The sequence below is a fragment of the Homo sapiens genome, chromosome 3 (genome assembly GCF_000001405.40).
Source record: "Homo sapiens chromosome 3, GRCh38.p14 Primary Assembly".
Taxonomy (NCBI): Eukaryota; Metazoa; Chordata; class Mammalia; order Primates; family Hominidae; genus Homo; species Homo sapiens.
Window position 1 is genome coordinate 55,998,244 of NC_000003.12, and position 25,259 is coordinate 56,023,502.

At 37.1% G+C, this 25,259-nt stretch overlaps 1 protein-coding gene across 21 annotated transcripts in view, besides 1 other annotated feature; it reads right to left on the reverse strand.

Annotated features, from left to right (window-relative positions):
- Positions 1-25,259, reverse strand: part of ERC2 (ELKS/RAB6-interacting/CAST family member 2) — a 960,157-nt gene that overhangs the window by 489,933 nt on the left and 444,965 nt on the right. For 14 of the 21 annotated variants that reach the window (NR_132749.2, XM_017006156.2, XM_047447950.1 and 11 more), the window contains 3 exons: positions 20,651-20,788; positions 12,206-12,346; positions 8,938-9,078 (listed from right to left, as the gene is read on the reverse strand). Coding sequence is in view for 20 of the 21 variants with exons in the window: in XM_017006156.2 (XP_016861645.1) it covers positions 8,938-9,078; positions 12,206-12,346; positions 20,651-20,788 (420 nt within the window). In the remaining variant the exon portion in view is untranslated. Of the gene's footprint in view, positions 1-4,855; positions 4,892-8,937; positions 9,079-12,205; positions 12,347-20,650; positions 20,789-25,259 lie in introns of all 21 variants that reach the window. The other 7 variants (XM_047447947.1, XM_047447946.1, XM_047447949.1 and 4 more) reach the window with 1 other exon arrangement.
- Positions 12,909-13,093: a silencer, noted in NCBI's record as "fragment chr3:56045180-56045364 (GRCh37/hg19 assembly coordinates)". NCBI's record gives its function as "represses an EF-1alpha promoter that drives an FKBP-Casp9 reporter gene in an ReSE screen in K562 erythroleukemia cells {active_cell/tissue: K562}" and the evidence as "EXISTENCE:reporter gene assay evidence [ECO:0000049][PMID:32094911]".

The window sequence follows — 25,259 nt, forward strand, 5'->3', positions numbered from 1 at the left end:
CTCTCTCTCACACACACACACATACACACAAAAGAACAACTGTATGCTTAATACTTCTAAAGATCCCCCAAACAAAACTGTAATTATTAATGCAATCCTTTTTAATTATGGGATTTCCTAAAATTAGCAATGTAGAGAACTGAGGTAATTATCTGGATGTCCTCAAACAAAACATGTAGCTTCAAATGTTGAGTGTTATTGCAAATATTAGTTGAGTTTTTTAGACACTGAAAGCCTGGATCAATTATAGGGTATGTGTTTGTGTGTATGCATGTGTTTACACATGCTATGTGCATGCCTGGAATTATCTCTTAAATAGTTGTAACTTTCCACTGTGCTGGGAGATAACTGGTTTAAGAGTGAGTCGAATACTTTTCAGAAATAGGCTTCAAAAATCATAAAAAGAAACTGCTATATCCAAACAATGACTGTGAAAGCATTTATAATTCAGCCCATTACGTTCCTGGGACTATACTGTCCTGTAATGACCTACAAAGCAGGACATTAACAAGATTTTTTTTCTATCTCTCTGGAATGAAACATGCCTGCTTTTTGGCTTTTGTTATGTTTTTTGTAAACACTTACGTAAAATGTGAGCCCTGCTAAATATGTGTTGAGAAGAGATAGGATTTCAAATGGATACCTACTAGGCACTGGGTACCCCAAGTGTGGGGAACATCAGAGGGGTCTCAAATGTGCCCTGGCCAACAGCAAGGTTGCACCCAGTGCCTCCAAATCAGTCATTTGCCTTTTAGCAACAAGGGTATTATATGAAGCACTAAATTGAGGGACCCAGAAGGTCTAAAGATTTATTAAAATTTTTTGAAAGACTCCCGATACCATCTCTGCATACAATGACCACAAGGGCTACAGCAAACAAGGTATTTGAGACTGATGAAACACGCATATTATTTGTTTAGAATTAAGAACCAAGGGAAGAAAAAGAACCCAACTGAAGATAACCTGCACAGTGTTATAATAATAAGACAAAACTCCAGGAGTAGAATGATAGTTAAGCTGCAGAAAGGTTATAAGAAAAATAATGATATCAAGGCAAAATTTTAGGTTCCTAAGAAATGTCATTAGATATTACTTTGTGCAATAGAGTGACTAAAGTAAAAGGAGATAAAAAGTAAAAGGTTCCTTTCGACCCTAGAAATAAAAATACTTGCAGAAGCACTTAAAAGCTTAATCCTTGTTTACTCTGACATAGTGTAGACTGTCAGACAGAATTGACTATAAAATTATCTTATTTAACAAAAAACAACTATACTATAATTCACCAAAAATTTGTTATGTGGCCATATAGAAAATAAACATACAAAAATAAAAGAAATTTCCTAGCTATGATAACTGATTAGAAAATAAAATAATAAGTATATCATTTACAATAGCAACCTAAAAATTAAATATATATAGATATGCTTAAGACTATCTTTAAGAAGAAATATCATGGGAAAATATTAAACTTCACTGTAAAAAGCCACTGGAATAAATACAAGTTGGATCAGGTTTATGAATGGAAAGAAATAATATTGGGAACATATAAATAGTTCTAAAATTATTTTATAGATTAAATATATTTAAAATTAAAATCAACAATTTTGTGTTTTAATTGACAAAGTGATCCTAAAATTTACTTGGAATGATAGAAAATTAAAGGCTAAAGACTTAAGACAAAATGAAAAGCAGAAATAATTAAGGTGTAATTTGTTTTACTAGATATTTAAAAATATAATAAAGATACAATAATTAAAATTTTGACCCAACAAATTAGAGACATCAATAAAACTGAACAGATGCTTAGAAACTAAGACACTCACCCAAATGAGAACTTCATATTCAATAAAATAGTATCAAGATCAGTGGATAAAGAGAGAATTGTTTGATAAATCATGCTGGATAATTAGTTGATAATTTAGAAAAATATAATTAGAACCTCACCTCTCAACATGAATAAAAATGAACTAAAGATGGATAAAGGGCTTAACTTGATACCAAAAGCAAAATTAAAACATTTTAAATATAGGTAAGTGAAATCAGAGAATAGTTTCCAGAATAAAGGTAGTGAGGAAAGCCTAAAGAAAAGTACAGGTCAAGAACCTAAAAATTGTTCTCTATATACATAAAAAAATTTAGGCTAAATAAAACTGCCATAAATCTGGCAAAAATTCTATATAAAACACAGAATAACTCATATAAACCAATGAACAAAACAGTAAACTCAAAAGCAAGTGCTTAACTGATTTAAACTACTTACGTAAGAAAAAATACAAAAAGCTAATAAATGTACTGGAAAACCTCAACTTCAGTAGTTATTAAAGAAAGAAAAGTTAAAAAGGCAAAAAAAAATTCCACCTAAACATGTGTCAAAGTTATGTAAAATGACAATTCTCAATGTTGGCCAGGGTGCGGCAGAAAGGCCATTTTTAATCAGTGCTGGAAGAAGCATGCTTTGGTGGAATTCCTAGGAAACTTAAGATAGTAGGAACTATTGGGATCTTTACAAATCACTGGCACAGGAAGGAGGCAAGCACGGTGGCACATGTTTGTAGTCTCAGCAACTCCAGAGGCTGAGGCAGGAGGATCCCTTGAGCCCAGGAGTTTGAGACCAGTCTTAGGCAACAGAGCGAGACTTCGTCTTAAGTTTAAAAAAAAAAAAAAAGTGATGGGGGAAGAAATTACCAACATTAGAGGAATAAGCAAATAGAGTAGAATAGTATACAATCATTAAAATAGTATTTTGGAGGAATAGTTCATTATATGAGAAAATTCTAATAATGTAAAAAAAAATAGAATAGAAACCCAAATAAACACTTTGAAGTAGAGTGTTAGATAAGAAAAAGAAAAAGTAACACAAGAGTGAGAGAAGGAAAGGAGGAATAAAGGGAAGGAGAAGGCAAGAGGAGAGAGGAAAGAAAGAAGAAAAGAAAAAGAGAGAAGAAGAACAGCAACAACAAAAAGATGTCTAGGTGGAGAACAATCCAAATGTTCCAGCAATTATTTCTGTGCCGTGAGATGTCCTGTTATTTTTTAATTTTCCTCTATAGGCTTCCATATGGTTGCAAATTCTCTACTGTGACCATATATTATTTTTACAACTAAGAAAAACATAGTCATTTTTAAAAGACAATTAAGGGTAGAAAATCCATCATGCTGCATCCCTATCAGTCCAAAAAACAATTGGACACCAAGACAGGGGGAGTTAAAATAATGAGAGTTTGGCTATATTCCCGGGATGCCAAACCAATGGGTTAGTTTAATTAACTTGAGGAGAAAAGTCAGTCAATGACTTTTGAATTAGTCACTGAAAAGACTGAAAAGTTCACGCTGGCATATTAGAGACGCACCACTGGGGTGAAGTGAAGTAAAAGTTGATGATGCCATGTCACTGATATTTCTAGAAATGGTCTAAAAGCTAACTGAGAGTTATTTCTTTGGTCCTACCTATCCTGACAGGGAGAGTGAACTCCTAGCATGGTCCTGGTATATTTTTGCTGCTGCAGGAACAAGGCTCTCCCCATCTGTCATGCACACACCCAAAACATGACATTCTTTGGTTTTCTTCCTGTTCCTAACTAGTAAGTATGAAACAATTGCAGTGGGATTATTTCGCTTATTTTTTAAACAACTTTTTTTAAACACTCATTTTTTCCCAGGGTGTTTTCGAGCTTGAAGATATTCCAGTCTTATTTGTCTTTCTTCACATCTCCACTGTCCTGAGCCTGCTTATTAGCACTTCTATTCAAATGTTAAGGGAAAAGAAACTTAAGCTGATTATTTTTTGCTTCTCTGCTAAAATCTGCATTTTGAAAAAGAGGTTAACAAAGATGCTCCAGCAGGGTTTTAGGAATTCTGTTTGCAAAAATAAAATGTGTTGTAAAGAATGGAGGGTGGAGGCTGAATCTAACTAAGTACACCTGAACATCTTGCAGATCAAGCTGTATGTATCCTGAAGCAGTGGCTTAACAAATAAAAAGTTGTGGGTGCAATTGTTTCCTTTATCCATGCTATTCATTTTCTCCATAAGGGGATTTATACATAGGAGGTGATTAGAATGCATGATAGCACAGATCACATCTGCCAAATGATAAACTCTAGCCATCTTTATGAAGTATTTTCCCAGTAAGCCACTTAAGTTCACTGAACAAAAAAGCTTTTCTTCTTTAATAAGTTTAAAAAACAAACTGCTTCATATATTAATAAATGCACACAAGTCACTAGGATAAAAAAAATTCGTGGTGGCACCTGGCTCATTTTACAAATATTTTTACTAGTTACCTTTTTGTACTCTATTAAGCTATAATCAGAATTGTTACTATCTGTTATTAGGAGACTATATTATGGTTTGTCCTCAGCCAAATGGCATGCCTTTAACTGTTACAAAATCCACAGTAATGTCAAGTATTTACCAATCTCAAAGAGCGTAACCCTGTTTTTAAATCTAAACCTGTTTTAACTTCTGTCACTTGAATAAAACAGATATTGAATTGTTTGCTATTTTACAAATGTTGTTATCCCTTTCGGCCTAGATATGCTTGTGTTTGAAGGATTTAAGGAAGAGTTCCATAAGCCTAGATCTTCAGCTGACTTTTGTTTTTCTATAGTCTTTGGGCTGAGGTTAAGAAGGAGGTAATATCAGAGTTGGCAATATTTTCTTGAGTTATTAATTTTTAAATTTCACATTCAAAAGAAATGGCAGTGGCCTCAGCACAGATCATTTCTTTTGACAGAACGGAAAGGGGAAGAAACTCAAATATTTTCAAAACCTCCCCAGTATGGCACACCGTGACTGGTGATCAATGGATCCTCATGCTTTGATATGTTACAGCGGGAACTTTCAGAAATGACTTACTGGGTTGTACATCTGATTGAACAACTGCTCAGCTTGCTACATTGCAAAGTTGGGGAGGCATTGAGGCACAGACAGGGAAAGAAGGAAAGATCCAGAAAAACAGCATTAGCTCAACAAAATCCATGCATTCGCACAGACGAGTTGGTTGTTAAAAAAGAAGAAATTTCAGTTTCTAAACATTCCACAGTGAAAGCGAGATGCTCTAGGGAAATACAAATGTTGACTTTGGCTCCTAAAAAAGAATAGCTGGAATAAGAAATGTAAGGTTTGTGTTACTTTCCCTTTCTCAAGTTAAATAACCCATGAAATAAAGAAAGCTGTCCACTTTTGATGATACATGAAGTGCTGGCCTCCAGCAATGAATCAGAAGAAGTACTTTTGGCCAAGTCTGCAATTTATTACCTGAACTTCAAAGATGGTAATAATAAAAGATTAATTAAACGTTATCATTGAATTTATAGCTCTTCTTTTACATTAACACAAGCCTGAATTTTCTATTCGGTCTATCTTCAGAAAAATACAGATCAGCAAACAGCAGGTTAGCAATAGCAAAATATCAGTCAGACTTTATTGGATTAACTTAAATGGGAAAAGAAGAAAAATTTAAATCAGCAGGACCAAAATACTGTATTATCCATTGCCTATTACCAACTTCTACTGTTGTCTCCGGATTAATAGAAAACATAATTTTCAAAGATATCCTATTATGTTCCAAGTGCTTTAGAATCTATAATGTTTTCTTGTCTATTTTGTGTTGAAGATTTAAATTTTTGTGGGTTTAAATGTGCTGAATATTATTTTAAACTGCACTCTCAACTTATATTTTCTAAATACCTGCACTATTTATCTGGGGCTCAATGTCAAGGTGTACAGGGTGAAATATTGTAGAAACTGTTACTTTGCTTTAAGCTAAGACACACTTTTTAAGAGCCTCTATTACTTTTTCCTTCAACTTGAATGAAGTAAATGACAATGTTATCATGGTTTAAAGAAACTCCCTCCTCAGGTATAATATTAATTGAAAAATTACTAAAGAGCATAAATCATATTTTGAATTGCCATTGCTTCTCAATTGATTTCTAATCACATAGGGTAAATTTACTCCCCCATTTTGAACCTCAAATACTCTTTTGAAAGACAAAATGATCCATACGTCAATTATCAGCCTCTTCTCAACTCTTGGGTGTCTACTTAAGATGGATGAATGCGCTTAATTACAAAGCACACTTATAATTTGCAATTATGCATTATTTGGTTAGTATCATTTTATCAGCCTCACTAATATCAGTAAAAATTTCCTCACACATGAACATTTATAAGTAGTGGGATGGAATGTATAAGGGAGTTCCTTTTCTGCCTATAACCATTTGTCATCACAAAGTATTGAAGGCATCTTAAATTAACACAGTATAATAAAGGGTTAAAGTAATCATGTGTCTGAATGTTCTCCACAAACTTTTATGTAAAAACTCCCTTTACCAATGTCAAGCATTGTTTACAAGACAAAAATAAGTTTAAATCACCGTTTGGATTTCATTGCCACTGGCAGACAAGGTTTCTGTTCAACGACACACATCTACAATGTTGTGTAGATTTTATAGGAAAAATACCTGGACACTCACAAACCTTGAGCAAAATTCCATTGGGAATTTTTGGTGTATTTATGACATAATAAAACTATTATGTTTTCAGCTTTCATTTAGTAAACTTTTATATTTAATTCACAAGTCACGTACCCTTTTATTTAAAAAGAGGCCCAGACACACTTAAGCTTTTATAGCTGCTTATTTTTCCATGAGTAAATGATGTGTTTATATGTATATTCACATACTGTTGGCTTATATTTTCAAATATTTCATGTAGATCTCAATTTTTTTAAGGTGATGGGTATTTGAGGTTTTTACGGAACTATTTATTAGCAGAAATTAAAGACTACTGAAAAAATATTTTAAACTTTTGAATTTAGTTAATGCTAGACAGCCAAAAATAACAAAATAGCATTTGCAGGTTAGACATAAATATATTTAAATTATAATTACCCTATTTAAACTCACTGCACTATGCATTTAGGAGATAGTATAAGCAAAGATTATGTATATACTTAGAAATAAGTTATCTTTTCATAAATGAAATAGGTCCTTTACAGCAAGACAACCATATTTGTTACTTTAATTCTAGTGACGTGGTAGAATGTTAAAATGCTGTCAGGAATAATGCTACAATGTTTACAGGATTTGGTCTGTGAATTTCAGTGTGTGGTGTCTACCTGCGAGTCAAAGGAAACCACACACTCTGAGTGATCTCAGGGGCAAACCACAGCTATGTTGAAAGAAACTATACTGAATTGCATAAATGTTGATTTATTAAACTAGTCAAGTCATTACACGAAAAGTATAAGCAACAATATGTGAATCTCTTCCTTTTAATTACTAGTGGATTTCAAATTCCCATAGATGATTTACACTAAAAAGGAAGGTGTCAAGCATGTACCTATAGAAATAATAAATGGAGCCCCCGATCTCCATAACAATGACTCATCAGAGTAGGTGGAGGACATCTTTCATGCCCAGGTCTATTTGAGGCCGTCTTTCTTCTCGACTCAGCACACTGTGACTAAGGTAAAATAATGCAGGGAATGGTCATAAGGAGCCAATGAATTTCTCTCTTTCACAAAGCTAGCTTAAAGCCTGCCTTATGATCACAAAACTTTTATTAAATAAAAAATATTCTTCATAAGTTCATCCCTTAATATGCATATCATAGATAATATTTTGAAGAGCACATTTATATAGGTCAGGAATGTATGTCATATACCCAATACATCATAGCCAAGTCAATCTCCATTTAAACACCCTCAAATGGGCAATTTAAATTCTTTTATTTATTGTTCAAGATTTCTGCTTAACTAAATATTGCTTGAAATAAGTGAGATGATGAGTGGATTGGGAAATATATTTTGCAATATAGAGATTTTCTTGCTGTTTTGTTATTAAAGGATTTGATCGGTGTATTTATCTTTTTCTGTATTAGCAAGTAGACTTTCTTAGTGTGAAATTTCTCATGACAATTTCCTAAACATCTCTGTAAAGTGAATACCATATAGTAACATTTCAGTTATATATTGCATCATACAAAATAGTATATTAAATTTTAAGATATCTAGAGTAATTCCTTCACAGATATGTGATTCCTTCACATCCTTGACCATCCATGTCATATTTTTCATAACTTTAGCCAATAAATCCCCATCCCGGTGTGTGCTATGAATTATACATAGTCAAATTGTATTATATGCTTTGATTGATTGTTTAGATTCTTATCATCTCTTTTGAATAAGTTTATGAGTTGTCAAAGGGAAACAAAATGCTTAAACTCATAATGTTATGAGTTTTATGTGAACAATGAGTGCAGACATACCAAACAACACAGGGAAAAAGTCAAAGTAACAATGCATGACTGGAAATGCACTCCACAAAAATGTCTGGGTCAGAGAAAACATGTTAATGCCGCCATGTAAATATCCTATTTCTTTTCCAAAGCCTTCTATCTACAACAAGCTTTCTTAGACAGTAAGGCCATTTTGATCAAATATAAATAGTCATTCTACAGAGATGGGACTTGACAATTTTGGTGAACTTCTAGAAAGTTAACAATGTCAGAAAAGCTTTTTGCAAAGTTCTGGTACAAAAAAATGACCTACATCTGAAAGTAGCAAAAGTTTATTAATATCTAATGTGGCTTCCGGATTCTGTGATTTGTTGAAAACATTTCTATTTTTCTTTGCTGATAGTTGAGATTTGCCCAGAGAGTAATGGCTGGTTTTTATAATATTTTTAACTTCTGCTACTATTTTGATCTATTTTTCAAGTTTTTCTTAAACAGGAAATCTGAGATAATTTTTCAGGTTTACAGACAGATTTGATAGACTTCTTAGCAATAAAGTTAAGAGTATTTAATTAATTCTTTTATCAGCAGACAGCAACAGATAAGGGGTTTGTTTCTTTTTAAAAACGTCTCTTCCTGTTCCATTTTATAAATTCATTTTTAAATAAGCATGATTCTTTTTCTTAGACTTCACTTACCTTTTTTAACTGTGCTTCCAATTTGCTACATTCCTCTTTCTTTTGTTCAATGGCTATTTCTAGAGATTTTAATTTGGAATCCCTTTTCAGCCCCGCAGAGGCTAATGAAGATGCATGTTCTTTGAGGTCAATTAAACTAGACTGAAAGAGAAAGAATGTGAGTGAGTAAAACACTGAAATTTCTACTAGCAATGCCTTCAATTTGAACACATTGATTCTATACATAGCAATAAAGTGTGCAGTAGACAGAAAGGGTAAATATAATCTTACTAAGGTAACAATAGTCAGCTCTGGTCAGGAAATTAAAGTTGGCCAGCTTACAGAACGAGTAGGATCTAATTGCCGTAGAATCAAATGTGACCAAATGGTGTGGTCAGTAAATGCATGTTTCACGTCTCAAAGTCATGCTAATGATGTAAGTCCCAAGGTGGTCTTTACATGTCATAGCAAAACAGACACCCTGAACCTTCCGTTTACATTTATTGCTGTCAGACTATGCAGACATTGAGACAAATACGAAAGAAAATACTGACTTTAATGCATCCGCTCCCAAGAGCAAGTCAAATATAAAAGAAGCCTCCTACTACATTTTTATCAAATCCCATTTCTTTAACAGATAAATGATCAATGGTTTTACAAACATCTTCTGGAAAATTAACATAAAATTATTTTAAAATTTAGAGTAAATTTTATGTTTGCGTCCTTTGCAATCTAGATTTGACAGATATGATGAATCTTTCCAACTCAGACATAGGGTTACCTAAATTGTTCCAGTCACTAATCATGTCCAGAAACCAACAGGCTCCACATATAGTTTGAATTCCAAAAACTACAGAAATAAATAACTTGCATATATCACTGAACATAACTTTGCAACCTAAAAGAGCAATGTTTGTCATCAAATATGAAATAGCAACATCTAACTATGTGACTCAGATGTACAGGTTTTACCCCAAAACAGACTCCATGTATTTCCTTCTTGATCATTTGCATCACCTAGGAAGATACTAAAGACACAATGGTCTCTCTGTAAACAACGTTGGCTAATAATTTACACTGGGTTGCTTCATGGACACTGGAATAACCTTGATGATAAAAATCACCATCATCCAGCAAGGTGCTTCTAAAGCCCTCTGGGGAACAGGTGAGCCATTCTCATTCTTCACATCAGGAAACTGAGGCTCACAAGAGCTGAGCATCTTGTCAAAGATCACTTAGCTAGTAAAGGCAGATACAGGTCTCAAACCCAGGTCTACAATTCCAATTTCAATGACTTTTGTCATATCATTCCCACAGAAATAACAAAGGATATTATAATCCAGTCACTTTGTCATGGTGAAGACATATCTTCACTCCAATTAAATTATAAGCTCCCTGCTGACGGCAACTGCATATTGTTTTCCTTTATAAATTTTAAATTGCCAGATGCAATAGCCAGTTTTAGTCAACTTGGCTAGGCTCTAGTCCTCAGTTATTAATCTAGGAGTTGCTAATAGAAGGCATTTTGTAGACATGACTAAAATCTACCATCAGTTGACTTTAAGTAAAGGAGATTATTCTCAGTATTCTGCATGGGCCTGATCCCATCAAGTGAAAGGCCTATGAGCAGAATTCAGGTTTCCCTGAGGAAGAACAAATTCCACCTATTGATTGCAACATCAGCTTCTGTCTAAGACCTTCCAGTCGGCTTTTGCTGATGGCCTGTTCTGCGAATTTTGAAAATGCCTAGCCTCTGTAACTGTGTAAGCCAATTCCTTATGATAAAGTTCTTAATCTGTAGAAAATGTTTAACGTGGTTCTGTTTTTCTTGCAGAACCCTGACTGACACACCCAGCCCAGTGCCAAGCACATCATGCAGAAACAACAAGTGTTTACCAAAATGTCTATCTGAAAGTCATACAATGTTGGCATTATTTACAAAACTATTTTCACTTACAGCTTATGCTCCACCACTTCATCAAGATCTCTTTTCATTAGAAGTATATACATTGATTTTAAGGTGCAAACCGACAAATAACACTTGCAACCGGTGAAGAATGCTATAAACAAAGTCAAAGCTTCCATATCTTCTGTCGCATACAAACAACAGTCATCACAGATCCTCCAACTCAGAATCAGCAGTGGAAGCTAGGAAGAGAACTCCATTCTTTATATTCATAACAAAGAAATAAGCTCCTTTCTAAAAAGCAAGTAGGTTTAAATTTTAGGAAATACGGATTTTCTTTCTGATTTTCCTCGAAACTCCTCTTACTCATCCATTCTTTTCCTTCTTCATCTAGATTCCTAATTTATTCAGGACTTTAGTTTGTGTGGAATTATCAGTACCACACGAGTGAGGAAATACTGCGGAGCTAGGAGATAGATAACTGTGCTGTGGTACCGTCCAGCAGGGTGAAAGGTCTATAACAGCTCTAAAGAAGATGGACAGTTACAGCAGACAAAAGTAAGTGTGAAGGGGCCAATTGCAGGCAATCTCCACGCATCTCAGAGCTGTGAGGATTAAATAAAATAATGTGTAATTACTGCTGCTCATACTTCTCCACCGAACTATCCCCAAGAAAACTGAGAGGGTTACAGGGATCCCTTGAAGAATGGGGGAATAGCCCAAAGCATCCTCTTCATAACCCCCAAGCAAGAATTTCTTCAAAGTATAAGATTTTACTTTAAAAACACAGGTGGCATTTATATTCTGTATTCATGTTTGCTATGGTATAAAAATACAGCTCTAAATTATTTACTATAATGTAAAAATAATATGCCAGAAGAGCAGCCACACTTAAGCTCTACCTTGGGGTCCAGCATGGTACCACATCTCCTAATCTGAGAGTATTGGGTGGTCCCTTTGAAAAGTACAGATGAATGCAAAGCACTTGACACAAGGAATAGTACATAGCAGACACCCAATAAAGTAGAGCTATTGTTACTATCATCATCGCTGCTGTTGTTATCTCAAGCAAGGGATCATGGGCCTGTGAAAAATACAGAATCCTTTAAGCTGTGCAAATGTGGTAAGACATAAAGAAAAGTTTCAAGGAGCTACATTGTATATGGTTAGCAGAGCAGAGAAGATAGGCATAGGGCATCACAGATGAAGGAAGTTACAAAAAAAAAAATTCCTTTAAATTCAGGCAGCTTTACAAAAGAAAGGTTACTACATTCCCCAAGCCTTCATACAGTGCCTCCTACTAAGTCTCTAGTCTCTTGCAGCTTCATTGAATATGGGTTTATGAGGACTATCAATGTGGTTCATTTGTTTTTCCAGACTCACCTCTTTCTCAGTCAGTTCAGCCTGTAAAGCATTGACCTTCTCTTTCAGGTCTTTGTTCTCTTTTCGGAAGGATTCTATCTCTTCTAGTCTTTCCCGATCATCTCTTTCTCGCTGTTCTTTCAAGCGCTCAATTATTCTCTCCTGTAAGGCAATTAACAAAAAAGAAGAGGTGAGAACCCATCAGTGTATATGCCAAAGCATACTGTAAAAGAAAATAAGAGGCAGTACATCTAAGAAATGCTGTACAGGAATCAACACACACAAGAAAATCAAAATTGGATTCGTGGGGAGGCTGTGCATAACAGCACTTGGGAAGGACAACCAATAACAGCTTTTGACTTGTTAATAAAAGTTAATATCACAGGGTTGCAAAGGAACGTAATGTTCAAGTTCTGTGGTTGCTCTTGGTTCATGGTAGTATCCAGCAAATTTCTAGAGCAGCTCTAGAAGAGGGAGCTTCAGACACCAAGACTCCAGACCTACCACAGCCTTGCACAGGAAAGGGGAAGAAGTAGAACATGCCTCTTGGCTCCGCCCTCTTTGCTTAGCCTCTCCATTTGTCATCAAAGAGCCTTCATTGGTTTCTGAAGACTGTTCTCTGGCTAGATGGGAATGAAGTGGGGCAGGACCCAAACCCTCCAGGACTTAGAGCTGGGACTCATTGTGAGAACTTGAGACAAAGAATCAGTCCATTGTGTATGTGATTTTCCAGTGTGTCTGAGGATGTTTACTTCTGTGTTTTTTCAGTGGTTTCTTGATAGTCAGCAGAGAATCCAAAACACTGGCTGAGTTTGAACGAAGTTCAGCAGCAGCTTTATTTTATTGAGGGCTTACTACATGCTAGGCACTGTGATGTGCTCTCCTCATCAGCCCTCATCACAAGCGCAAGGGCAGATCCAGTGCTCTTGGTGACGGTGTAGAGGTGAGGAAACCCAGAGCTCCGAGATGCAAGGTGGCCCAGGTCATAAACAGAACGCCTCCCACATCCCAGGCTCTCTGACTGTCAGCCACACCCATGAGACCACACTGCCACAAACATACACCTGGAGCCATTCAAGGAGGTCTGCCTTTGACTTTCACACTGAAATGAAAACACTGCTTTGTAGACTTGTTTTCCAAAAATAGGGAATCTGCCTGATATCAAAGTAAGAAACTTAAACACACACACACACACACACACACACACACATGCACACGAAAATTCCATCTGCGTAAAGCTTGAGTTAGATTTCTGAAATTAGTTTGAAATTATCCAACACATATCTAAACTTCCTCTCGGATGGCCATGTTAAAAAATACTGGTGCAACAACTGTGGCCAAGGATCCTGATACTATCTTTTATATTCTTATAATTGCATAGTGCAAGACAATGCCTGATAAATAAGACAACTGTAAAATAGTATTTAATGCAGAGGGAAGTTAGTTTGAACAGTTAGCCTGTGATTTAAGATCCCCCGAGGAAGCAACTGTTCTACCCCACTGACAATAATTTATATATCTAATGCTTTCAGCGGAGGAGGTACCATTACTATTTTCCAATTATTTAAAAACACTTTAAATGAAATATATTATTATAAGAGAGGAGGCAGAAATATAACAAATGAAACTATTAATTGCCTATATTTGTTTCTTCTTGATCCCAGACCTAGTTTACCTACCTGTGACAATGGTGAGTGGATGACTATGTGATCCACAAGAGAAGGAAATGGCCACAGTACATGGTCAATCTCTCAAGGGTTTTTAATGATTTCAGCAACCAAGACCTTGCTGCCTTTTGCCCACACTACAACCAATTACCCAGCCACCTCTCCGTCCCATCCCTTCCACTACATGGCTGTTGGAGCGACATTTCTAAAGCTCCAAAAGGACCTGTCGTCTCACTATTTGGAAACCTTCCCAGGAATCCCTCTGGCTGGATCACGTGGCACTTATTCCCACTCGGCAGCCTTCACGTGGTTTCACTGCATGATCATCCTCCCAGCCCCACTTTCAAGAGGGCAGCACTAAAATCCTATGAGTCTTCTTGACCCACAGCTGGGCAAATCATCTGGCATACAACAAGCAATTAAAAGAGCTGAAGGAAGGAAGGAGAACTCAATTAGGGATCATCTTGGCTTCAAAGAAAAGGTAATAAAATTAAGCAGACATGTTAACAGCCAGAAGGTGTCAGAATCGTTTGGAAAGTAGGTCGATTTGCTCTAAGCACTCGTACTATTGACTGGGCATTGATGACAAAAAAAATCAACAAGCACTATAATGTTTTTAAGTGTTATTGATGATTCAATACTACAACATATTTCTCCGTCAATCACAAAACCAATTTAACTGTCAGCCGCGCAGGGCCAGATGTCAAAAACATGTGTTAAAAGGCCCTAATATACCATGATGTACTTGATTAAAAACTAACTTGCAGAAATTCCAACAATGTGTTCTTGTTTTAGTCTTATTTGCATTGGCAAGCATTCCTTGTGCACTCATCTGGCTCTGCACAGGTCTAATCTATTTGTGCTTTATCACAGGGTGGGAACTAAATTACAGTGGCCTCCAGCTCCACTATCTGGCTTTCTCAACTGCTTATCTGCTATGTGGCTACAGCAAGGCTTTGCGAGACCAGCTTTATAAATACAGTGGGTTCCATCTCTTGAGCTTCTGTGTGTCAATCCTAGAACCAAGTCATATTCAATCTTAACTCACGGAGAGGCATTATTCTTTGCACTCTGTTAATAGTTGAATAAGTTCCTGGAAAGTAAAAGGAATAACATACTCCCTAGGATGCCATAATCCAGGGGAAATGGTGAATACTGCCTGATGGATTCTTTTCATCAGCCAAGAGACAGCAAATAATTAAATGTACTTAAAAATTCATGAGTTTTTATTAATCATTTTGTTTCACAGCATGCCTTGTTACAGGGGGATTTGTGCAATTAAATGTGGATAAAAATGGGACTTGTGAGCAAAACTCCATTTAAAGAAGATTGTGATGTTGCCAAAAGCACAAAGATCTTTGAGTTTTAGTCTTATTCTATCACCTGTGAGCTACTGGCCTTGGGATAGTCCAGAGGAGGCAGCAAAGTCTCAACGAAGGACCAGCTTAGACAGGGTGGAAACAGCTTCCAGGAGCGGTGGGTTGAGAAGTTAGCATGTGCCATGATTAATTAATGATGTCTCTCTAGGCCCAGAAATGGGGGATGATGCTGTACATGTCGATATTTTTATTTCTGGGCAAATCATTTCACCTCATTGAGCCCATTTCCCATCTTAAAATGGAAGAGCATAGATTTAGTGTTTCTCAAAGTGTAGCCTTCTGACCACTTGGATCAGAACCCTTCGGTATATTTAAAAATCAGAGGTTCCTGGGCTCCACAGCAGAGCAGCTGAATCAGAATCTCTAGGAAATAGGACCCAGGAAACTGTATTTTAAGAAACCTCCTAGATGATAAGATTATTTGGATATATACAAAGGTTTGATGCATACTGGAATACTTAGAATAAATCTTCTATTATTTGTCCTAAGATAGAGAACCTTGCCAGTTCCTATCCAACGGTTTTATCTGTGCTTTCCAAATACATTAGGCATTCTGATTTTGGCACCTTTAAAAAATTCCCTCCACATCCATTGCTCTATATCTGCTTTTATTCTTCATCGCTATGAAAAGTTAAAAAAAAACAGATGCAAACAGAGTTTGGAAATAAATAGCTCACAAAGCTGGTACATAGAGCTCTTTTGTTTGACTTGAGCATCATAATTTTTAAAAATCTGAACTTGAATGTTTTGAAATAGACCAGGGATCTGCAGCTTACCATAGCTACCAGTAGTCCCTACTACACTTCAGCAAAGCCACATCCCTCATTTTTGTTCCCTCCCTGGCCCTTCTAGTCGTCTAAGTTCTCAACTCCTCATCTGTTGTCCAATTCAGATGCCATGAGCCTGAGATTGCAGATCAGCAAACTGAATAATTCATTGTCAAGGGAGTTCCAGGACAGCATGAAACTTAGAGGTCAGCTAATAAAAATGTGTATTTTGAAGATGAGGTACTGAGACGCTGAGAGAAGAGGCTTGCCCAGGTGATGCAACTGTCAAGCAGTAAAGACAGTCCAAGGGGCCAGACTCCCACAGACCTCAGATTCCTTCCCAGACACCCCCTCAGCCTCAAAGGAAGTACTTAAATAAAGGGAGTAGTTTCAGATTTGGGAATTACTTTGGGATTTAAGCTAGAATAAATCAAATCTTAATAGGGTCCAGAAAAAAAAATAAAATCCTGCCAAGAATTCATGACATGAAAAATTATATGGTATATGTTTACTTCTGTGAATTTTAAGAAAGAAATCAAGAGGTAGAAATAGGGTGATATCATACAACCCAAATATGCTAAATGAACACATAAGCAGTAATAGTTTTTGAACAAACATCCCCTCATTCCAATGTTACAAATAAAACTACTGCAGAGAGCTCTGGAAATAAATTATTAAAAGATGAAAAGAGAATATCTCTCCCCAAAAAGTCATCTTATTAAATATTCTTATAAGCTTTCAAGTAAAACCTTATCATTCTTATAATTTAATCCTGAAGTTATAATCTTTCAATGTTTAAATTGTTACAGGATTTATAACTTTATTAACCAGCAACTGTTTCTCCTCCATGGTTTTTTTAGCAAAATTAATTTGGAAATACATACTAAATATGATGTCAAATAAGGTAACTCAATGTCAAAATGTACATTCTTTATCTTACAAAAGCCTCATTTTAATTGTTTGCTATATTTTATTTTATTTACATTCTGGGATACATGTGCACGATGTGTAGGTTTGTTACATAGGTAAACGTGTGTAATGGTGGTTTGCTGCACCTATCAACCCATCACCTAGGTATTAAGCTCAGCATGCATTAGCTATTTTTCCTAATGCTCTCCCTCCCCCGACCCCTTCCAACAGGCCCCAGTGTGTGTTGTTCCCTTCCCTGTGTCCATGTGTTCACATTGCTCAGCTCCCACTTATAAGTGAGAATAGGCAGTGTTTCGTTTTCTGTTCCTGCATTAGTTTGCTGAGGTTAATGGCTTCCAGTTCCATCCATGTCCCTGCAAATAACATGATCTCATTCCTTTTCATGGCTGCATAGTATTCCATGGTATATATGTACCACATTTTCTTTATTCAGTCTATCATTGATGGACATTTGGGTTGGTTCCATGTCTTTGCTATTGTGGATAGTACTGCAATGAACATATGCATGCACCTTTATAATAGAATGATTTATATTCCTTTGGGTATATACCCAGTAATGGGATTGCTGGGTCAAATGGTATTTGTTGTTCTAGGTCTTTGAGGAATTGCCACACTGTCTTCCACAATGGTTGAACTAATTTAGATTCCCACCAACAATGTAAAAGCATTCCTTTTTCTGCCCAGCCTCACCAGCATCTGTTGTTTCTTGACATTTTAATACCTGCCATTCTGACTGGCATGAGATGGTATCTCACTGTGGTTTTGATTTGCATTTCTCTAATGATCAGTGATGTTGAGCTCTTTTTCATGTGTGTTGGCTGCATAAATGTCTTCTTTTGAGAAGTGTCTGTTCATGTCTTTTGACCACTTGTTAGTGGGGTTGTTTGTTTGTTTCTTGTAAACTTGTTTAAGTTCCTTGCATATTCTGGATATTAGACCTTTGTCAGATGGATAGATTGCAAAAATTTTCTCCCATTCTGTAGGTTGTCTGTTTGCTCTGATGATAGTTTCTTTTGCTGTGCAAAAGCTCTTTAGTCTAATTAGATCCTATCTGTCAATTTTTGCTTTTGTTGCAATTGCTTTAGACATTTTCATCATGAAATCTTTGCCTGTGCCTGTGTCCTGAAGGGTATTGCCTAGATTTTCTTCTAGAGTTTTTACAGTTCTGGGTTTTACGTTTAAATCTCACAATTTTTAATAGGACCATGAAGACTAGCCCTAGAGTCATGGGTCTTTTTGTAGCTTCCTTTTTTTTTCTTTTTTTTTTTTTAATAACTTTTTAATTTAACTCCAAAAATATGCTTACCCATCTTTTTAGAGCTCCTAGGTTTTTATCATAGAGCCTTGGTTCTCAGACTAGAGTTTACATCACGATGACTTGGGGAACTTGCTAAAGTGCAGATTCCCAGGCCCTATGAGGTTCTGATTTGGTAGGTATAGATGGGGCCTAACAATAGAGACTTTCAACAGGAGCTTCCTGGTAATTCTGAAGTAACAGAAGAGAAGCCTCCTTTAGGATACACTGGCCTAGGAAACCCATGGGCATTTAATCTAATTCCCCCATTCATCAAATGGGAAATTTGAGGCCCTGAGAGAGGCAATTACTTGCCAGGCTCACCCAGTTAATTAATGGCTCCCCAGTTAATTAGTGGCTTAGGTGGGACTGGCCCCTAGGTCTCCTTCCAATTACTTCATTACCCCAGAGTTTATAGGCTACTGTAACAGGGAATATAGGAGATAATGCTATTACTCTAGTAGGGCATCCCAGAGGAAAACCCTCACAACATCCCATGCATGTGTGGACAAATCCTGCAAAGTGCTGCAGGATCAAAAATGATGGGAAAGATGAAGAAAAAGAACATAATAAAATCTACTCCCACACTTCAAAAGTTAACATTTCTTTTCTTGGTTTCAAGCTAAATTTGAAAATAATGCCAATAACATGGGCCTAAAAACTGCGCCAGCACTTCCATGTCCAACCAACAAACAAGCCGTCCCTCCTGAGAATTCCTAGAGAACTTTACCTGCACTGGCTCTTTGACATTCAGGAAGTGTTGGAGGAGAGGAGAGAGCATATGCAAACTCAACTCCAGGGTCTGATACCTACAATAGGTGCCCAGAGAATGAATGAACTCATTTAGCCAGAATGAAATGGACTGGAAATCATTTTAAAAGTAAGTAAACATCAGAATGAGCTGTTTGCCTAAAGGATTTTATTCATTCATTCATTCTTTTATTCAAATTAATCCCCTTAAATGTAAGTCAGAAGGAAACCCTCAGGATGGCATCCCATCCCCTTCAAAGTAAAAGCCAATTTTTAAAAATCTTGTCTCACAAGGGCCTGTGAAATCTGCTGCCCTTCCTCTCACCCACACCCTTGTACTTGCTCTCCCCTCTGCCAGGGCTTTCTCCCTCCACAAGGGCTCCTGGCTCACCACTCACTTTCTTCAAGTGTTTCCTTAAGTGTCACCTTCTCAGCAAGCTCCTACCTGGCCATTCTACTCCAGCACTCCCTGTACCCCTCCCTGCCTTCTCTTCTTTTGTAGAAAATATTACCCTCTGAAATCCTAGGAATGTCACGTATTTATTGTCTGTCTCCCCATCACCTCCACTAGAGTCTAAACTCCATTAGAGCCAGGATTTTCACCCATTTTCTTCTCTGCTGCATCCCAAGGCTCAAAAGAGGACCTGTCACATGGTGGGGGCTCACTCCACCAGTATCCAGTACTGAGTGAGCATCCCCAATGCAGGTTATGCTGGGCACAGGGAATGGAAAGATAACACACACATAGCATATGTTTCTTGGGTTTGGAGTCTAGCAGAGAAGAGAAATTAAAAACAGATAAATGAACAATTAAGAATGTGACATGAGCTCTGGGGAGTTTGTGGTGTTCCTGAGACATAACGGGGATACCTAGGAGGTGTCCCCAAGGAAATGATAAAATAATAATAATAGTGATAACATTACATCTACTATTCTAAACACATTCCATATTTTCATGCATTTTCTCCTCAATATAATCCACTGAGGTGGCTACTATTATTACCCTCTTTTACAAATGAAGAAACTGAGAGGTTAAGTAATTTGTCCAAAGTAGAAAGTATCAGACCTAGGATTTGATCCCAGGCAGTCTAGCTCCAAAGTCCACATTCTTGACTACTGCACAATACAACTTCTCATGAAGCTGACCTCTCAGAAGAGGAGGAATTAAATTAGCAGAGAGTGAGGAATATCCTCAGCTGGGGAATAGCATCTGAGGCAGGAAGGAGTATGGTACAGTTGAAAATCTAGAAGCCCCACATAACTAGGGAACAGAGAACCTGGAAAAAGAGAAATGGGGGATGAGGCTGGAAATGAAAGAAAGAATGAGGGAGGGAGCAGGCACACAGAGTGGGGGCTTGCCAGATCAGATGGGAGAAGGGACCCTGGGGGCCAGGTAGAGGATTTCAAATTATATCATCGTAAGAGCAATGGCAAGCTAGTGAAGGTTTTTAAGGAAAGCCAAGAGTGATGTAATCAGATTTGCATTTCAGAAAATGCCCCTGACTGTAGTATGCCAAGTCCACTGAAGAGGGCTTGTGTGGGAAGAACAAGGACCAGCTGGGACTAAAGGTAGTGTTAGCAAAAGAAGAAAAGCAGGCACATTTAAATGCATTGGGATCAACTTTCCCCAACTCTGTTTCCCCATATCCTGATTCCCCAGTTTTTGAGTGCATGCTCACCTTCTCTGACAGAGCTTCCTCTAGCGTCGCCAGTGCAGTATCTGTATTACTGGAATCCGTCTGCAAGGACTTCACTCTGTCTTTCAGGTTGGTCAGTTGCTTGTCTTTATCCCTAAGTTGTTCTTGCAAGTTTTCAATCTAAAAATAAAAATCAATATTTTAATGCATATTTGATTACATATCCTAGGCCAAAATTCCTGAAGTGGATCTATTAATAAAAAAAGAAAGAAAAAGACCTGAAATGATAGAAATTGTCAGTAGCTTTGACTTAGACAAAAGGCCATTTTGATGAAATCTTCATTTCTCCATTTAGTTCAAGTCTGTCTTTAAATGGTGATACAGAGGAGCAGAGTATCTCCCTCCATACAACGGTAAGCCCTTCTGACACGTACGTAATCACTATTATTTCTTTGTATTTCTATCCCTTTTACCAGCCTTTTAGGTCTCAAGTCGATAGGCTTGAACTTGGTACACTGAACCAGGGAAATATTATGCAAGATTAATTCATTGATTAAACAGACATTTACTGGAGAGCCCATTCTGCACCAAGTACCATATCAGTATATGGCAGATCCCATGTAGCCATTCACTTACTCCTTTATTTCAGTATTAAAGTTTGTGATATGCCAAATGTTGTCAAGTGGCTGTTTCAAAGTAACCACATGAAAAGCCAAGTAGGTTATCACCAGCAGACTGTTAATGGGAAGAACTTGTGATATAAGTCAAATGTAACAAGTACTAAACACTCCATTTGGCAACTAAGTCATGTGCTGGCAACCAACCAGCCACTTTTATCCACTATCTGCAGCCTGAAATAAACACGCCAAATAGCCGATTACAATGCCTGTCCAGGAGCAGCAGCAAGGACTTTCTCCTGGGCATTGAGGACATTATCATTCATGTTTTTATTCTCTGCTTTCAAACCATGTATTTCTTATCTAAGGATTTAAAAAAGCCCCACTATACAAACAATTTATTCGTATTAAGGGTTTTAAAATGACAAGGAAAAAAAGCAGTACAACTCTAAGATAAGTCCATTCAAAATATTTGCATTCTGCACCCAGCTTTCTCAGGGAATCATTCCAAAAGTATGTTTCACAATGTACACTCAAACAAATTTTTTGATTACTTGATTCCCTTAGCATGTATCTGGAATGGTAATCCAAATAATAATAATAGTAATCCCAGTAGTAATGAGGAGGAGGAGATGATTACAATGACAATGGAGGTGGCAGCAGTAGCAGCGTCAAAAACAGCTCTGGATGCAAAGACAATGGCTCTGCTGACCTTCAATCTGGAGGACATGGTCTTGGCTAATTTTTTCAATGGCCACAATGGAAACCCGTAAACTTTGTGGCCTAACAAAGATGAAATTTTTTTTCTTTCCTTCCTTTCTTCCAGCCTCCTTCCATCCTTCGTTCCACCTTTCCTTCATTCATTTTTTTTTCTTCTGCCTTGAGATAGACAGCTTAGAAACTCAGGTTATAGGTCAAATAATTATTCTTTTCCTTCATCAAAATGTAATGTGTTCCCATCCAGCTGCCACTGTGAAAATTAATTGCCACTCCTTGGAAAACACAGCAATTCAGAAGGCATAATCATCTCCAGTCAAAACAAAGGCTTCCTCCCTTCCAGACAAATGTTCACACAAAAATACACATAAGTAAGAATATGGATGGTTATATGTCAGAATGATACTGGTTATATGGAAGAAGCCAGCAGCTGAGAGGACTGACTCTTGGAAACAGTGTATGTTATTACTTTGAATACACCCATGGATACATTTGTGTACACACATGTACGCAAATCCACCGTGGTTCTGAATACACTGATTAGACCCACTGGCCCACCCTGGCAGACAGTGCCCTGGGCATAAGAGGAGGACATCAGCCTTGGGGCAGTAGTAGGCAGCAATTTCAAAGGACTTTGGGCACGAGAAATAGAGACCAAAGGAAAAGTGGCTGTGCACTTATGTCATAATCCCTGGGGCCTCCTCATATAACTGGAAAGACTAGGGAGACTGAGGGTCAGGGTCCTACTGGCATGCAGGTAGGGGTCAAGAGCTGAAGAAATAGGGATGGTGGAGACTGGAGACATGCGATCTGTTTATCTCACATCTAAGAACCCAGCAGAAGAGCCAATGATACTGCAGGTGTGACTGACTAACAGAGCTGGAATTAAAGATGTATTTATTGAGCTAGGGATGCACCACTTTAAGAAATGCTGCAAAAAGATCACCAAGAATGACTCTTAAGAGAAAAAAATAAGGTACAGAACAGTGTGTAGCATATAATCTCTTGCATAAAATTTGAAACATCTATAAACAGATAAATATATCTGGAAACAAATCACAAGAAATTTTAACTTTTGTAGGGTAAGGTCTAGGAGGCAGAAGGAAGAAGGAGTTTCTGGTTTTCATCTTTGTACATTTGTGTAGATTTCTGCTTGAATTTTCTAACCATGTGGGTTTTATTATTTTAAAATGTCAATCAGGGTTATCCAGCTGGTAAAATTATGGGCCATTTTTGGTTTATATTTATACATAAAAATAATAAATACTATACACATGAGTAAATAATAATTTAATAAATAAAACAAATGCCTACTTAATACTAAATTGTCCAAGTTGCCAGCAGTTACAGATTGTTGGCATATTTATTTATTTTTTTAATGGGAGCTAAATTTTTTAATTTTAGGTTTGGGGGTACATGTGAAGGTTTGTTACATAAATAAACACGTGTCAAGGGGGTTTGTTGTACATAACATTACATTGCCCAGGCATTAAGCCCAGTACCCAGTAGTCATCTTTTCTGCTCCTCTCCCTCCTCCCACCTTCCCCACTCAAGTGGACCCCAGCGTCTGTTGTTCCTTCTTTGTGTTCATAAGTTCTTATCATTTAGCTCCCACTTATGAGTAAGAACATGTGGTATTTGGTTTTCCGTTTCTGCGTTAGTTTGATAAGGATAATAGCCTCCAGCTCCATCCATGTTCCCGCACAAGACATTATCTCATTCTTTTTTATGGCTACATAATATTCCATGGTGTATATGTACCACATTTTCTTTATCCAGTCTGTCATTAATGGGCATTTAGGTTGATTCCATGGTTTTGCTATTGTGAACAGTGCTGCAACGAACATTCACATACATGTGTCTTTATGGTAGAATGCTTTATATTCCACTGGGTATATACCCAGTAATGGGATATTGGCATATTTAAACCATGGCCTATTATGCAAGTATTTAAAATCCTGTTTGCATAGCATTGCTAACTAAATGAAAATAGTAGATCTTTAAAAAGCAGAATGTAAAATAGTATGGCATTAATTTTGTAAAAAGAAAAAATTATTGCATAGAACAAAAATATAAGGAATCTACTAAAATGTTTTATTTGGCAATGGGACGACTGATGATTTTACTTCTCCTCTTCATGCTTTTCTGCATCTGCCAGTGTGTTTTCATTGAGTGTAAACAGAATAAAAAGATATTTTAAAACCAACTACAAAATATCAGAATGGTTATTTAAGTGACTTTTGAACAATAAGTTTTTGCTTTTTAAAAGGACTCTGCAGGAGAAAATAATCCTTTCATACTCCAAAGATGACTGAATTCTTAAAATTTAAACTTAAAAGACTGGAGAGAATATAAAATTCTGTATCTTTTAAAAAAAAGTACTGCACAGTTTTCTCATGTTCACAAATTGTTATGACATTTATATGAAAAATGTTGGGAACCTTTTTCTTCAAAGGGTGAGGTTGTGCAAGGCTCAAATAGCAGGAATTGGAAAATAAGCAAATTGAAAACAAGGGTTAGGATGGGAAGCCTTGGGGGTGGAAAGGGAAGGGTTTTTTTGAGAAATTTCATATTGCAGAATTGGACACCACCTTAGCAACACAGACAACAAAGTATGAGATAGGCCTGAGTACAAGGGAGCTAGAGAGAAACCCTGCCCTTGCCTTTGACTTGAGCTGCCTTCTGGTCATGGCTGGGAAGATTCAGAAGGAGCCAGTACTGCTGAAGCAATAGCTATGCCTTCTGGGGCAGAAACCTGGAAAGGGGGTAAGAGAGGAGGAGAGCTCAGACCCTGGAGGTCACTTGACAACCCTAATCCTAATGGCTTTAGCTGACTTCTGAAGCTCTGCCCAAGAATTAATGGGGTCCTTAACTCTGGGCTTGCAAAGCCTGAGATGGGCCAATGTTCAGCAGGGGAGCTTTGTTGTGAATTTCACACAAGTGTAGTCCTCAGCACAAAAGGGACCATTGACTAACAGCCACAGCCTCCTTGACTCCACATTTGCTCCTCCTTCCATTTGGTCTCCATGCTGCAGTCAAAGGTAACCTTCCCAAAATGCAACTCTAACTGCATGACTTCCTTCCTTAGAACCCTTCAATGGCTCCCATTGCCCCCCACATAAAGCCCAAACTCCCTGATATCATACATGAGGCCCTCCGAGGGATGGTCCGTGTGATCTTCTACAATCCCTCAGCCAAGCCCTGGCCCTGCCGAATCACTAGTGCTATTCCCTAGCACGAGGATCTCCTTATATCTTCCCTATCTTTGCCTATCTATTTCCTTTTCTTGGAGCCCTCTTTGCACTCCAACTGTTCAC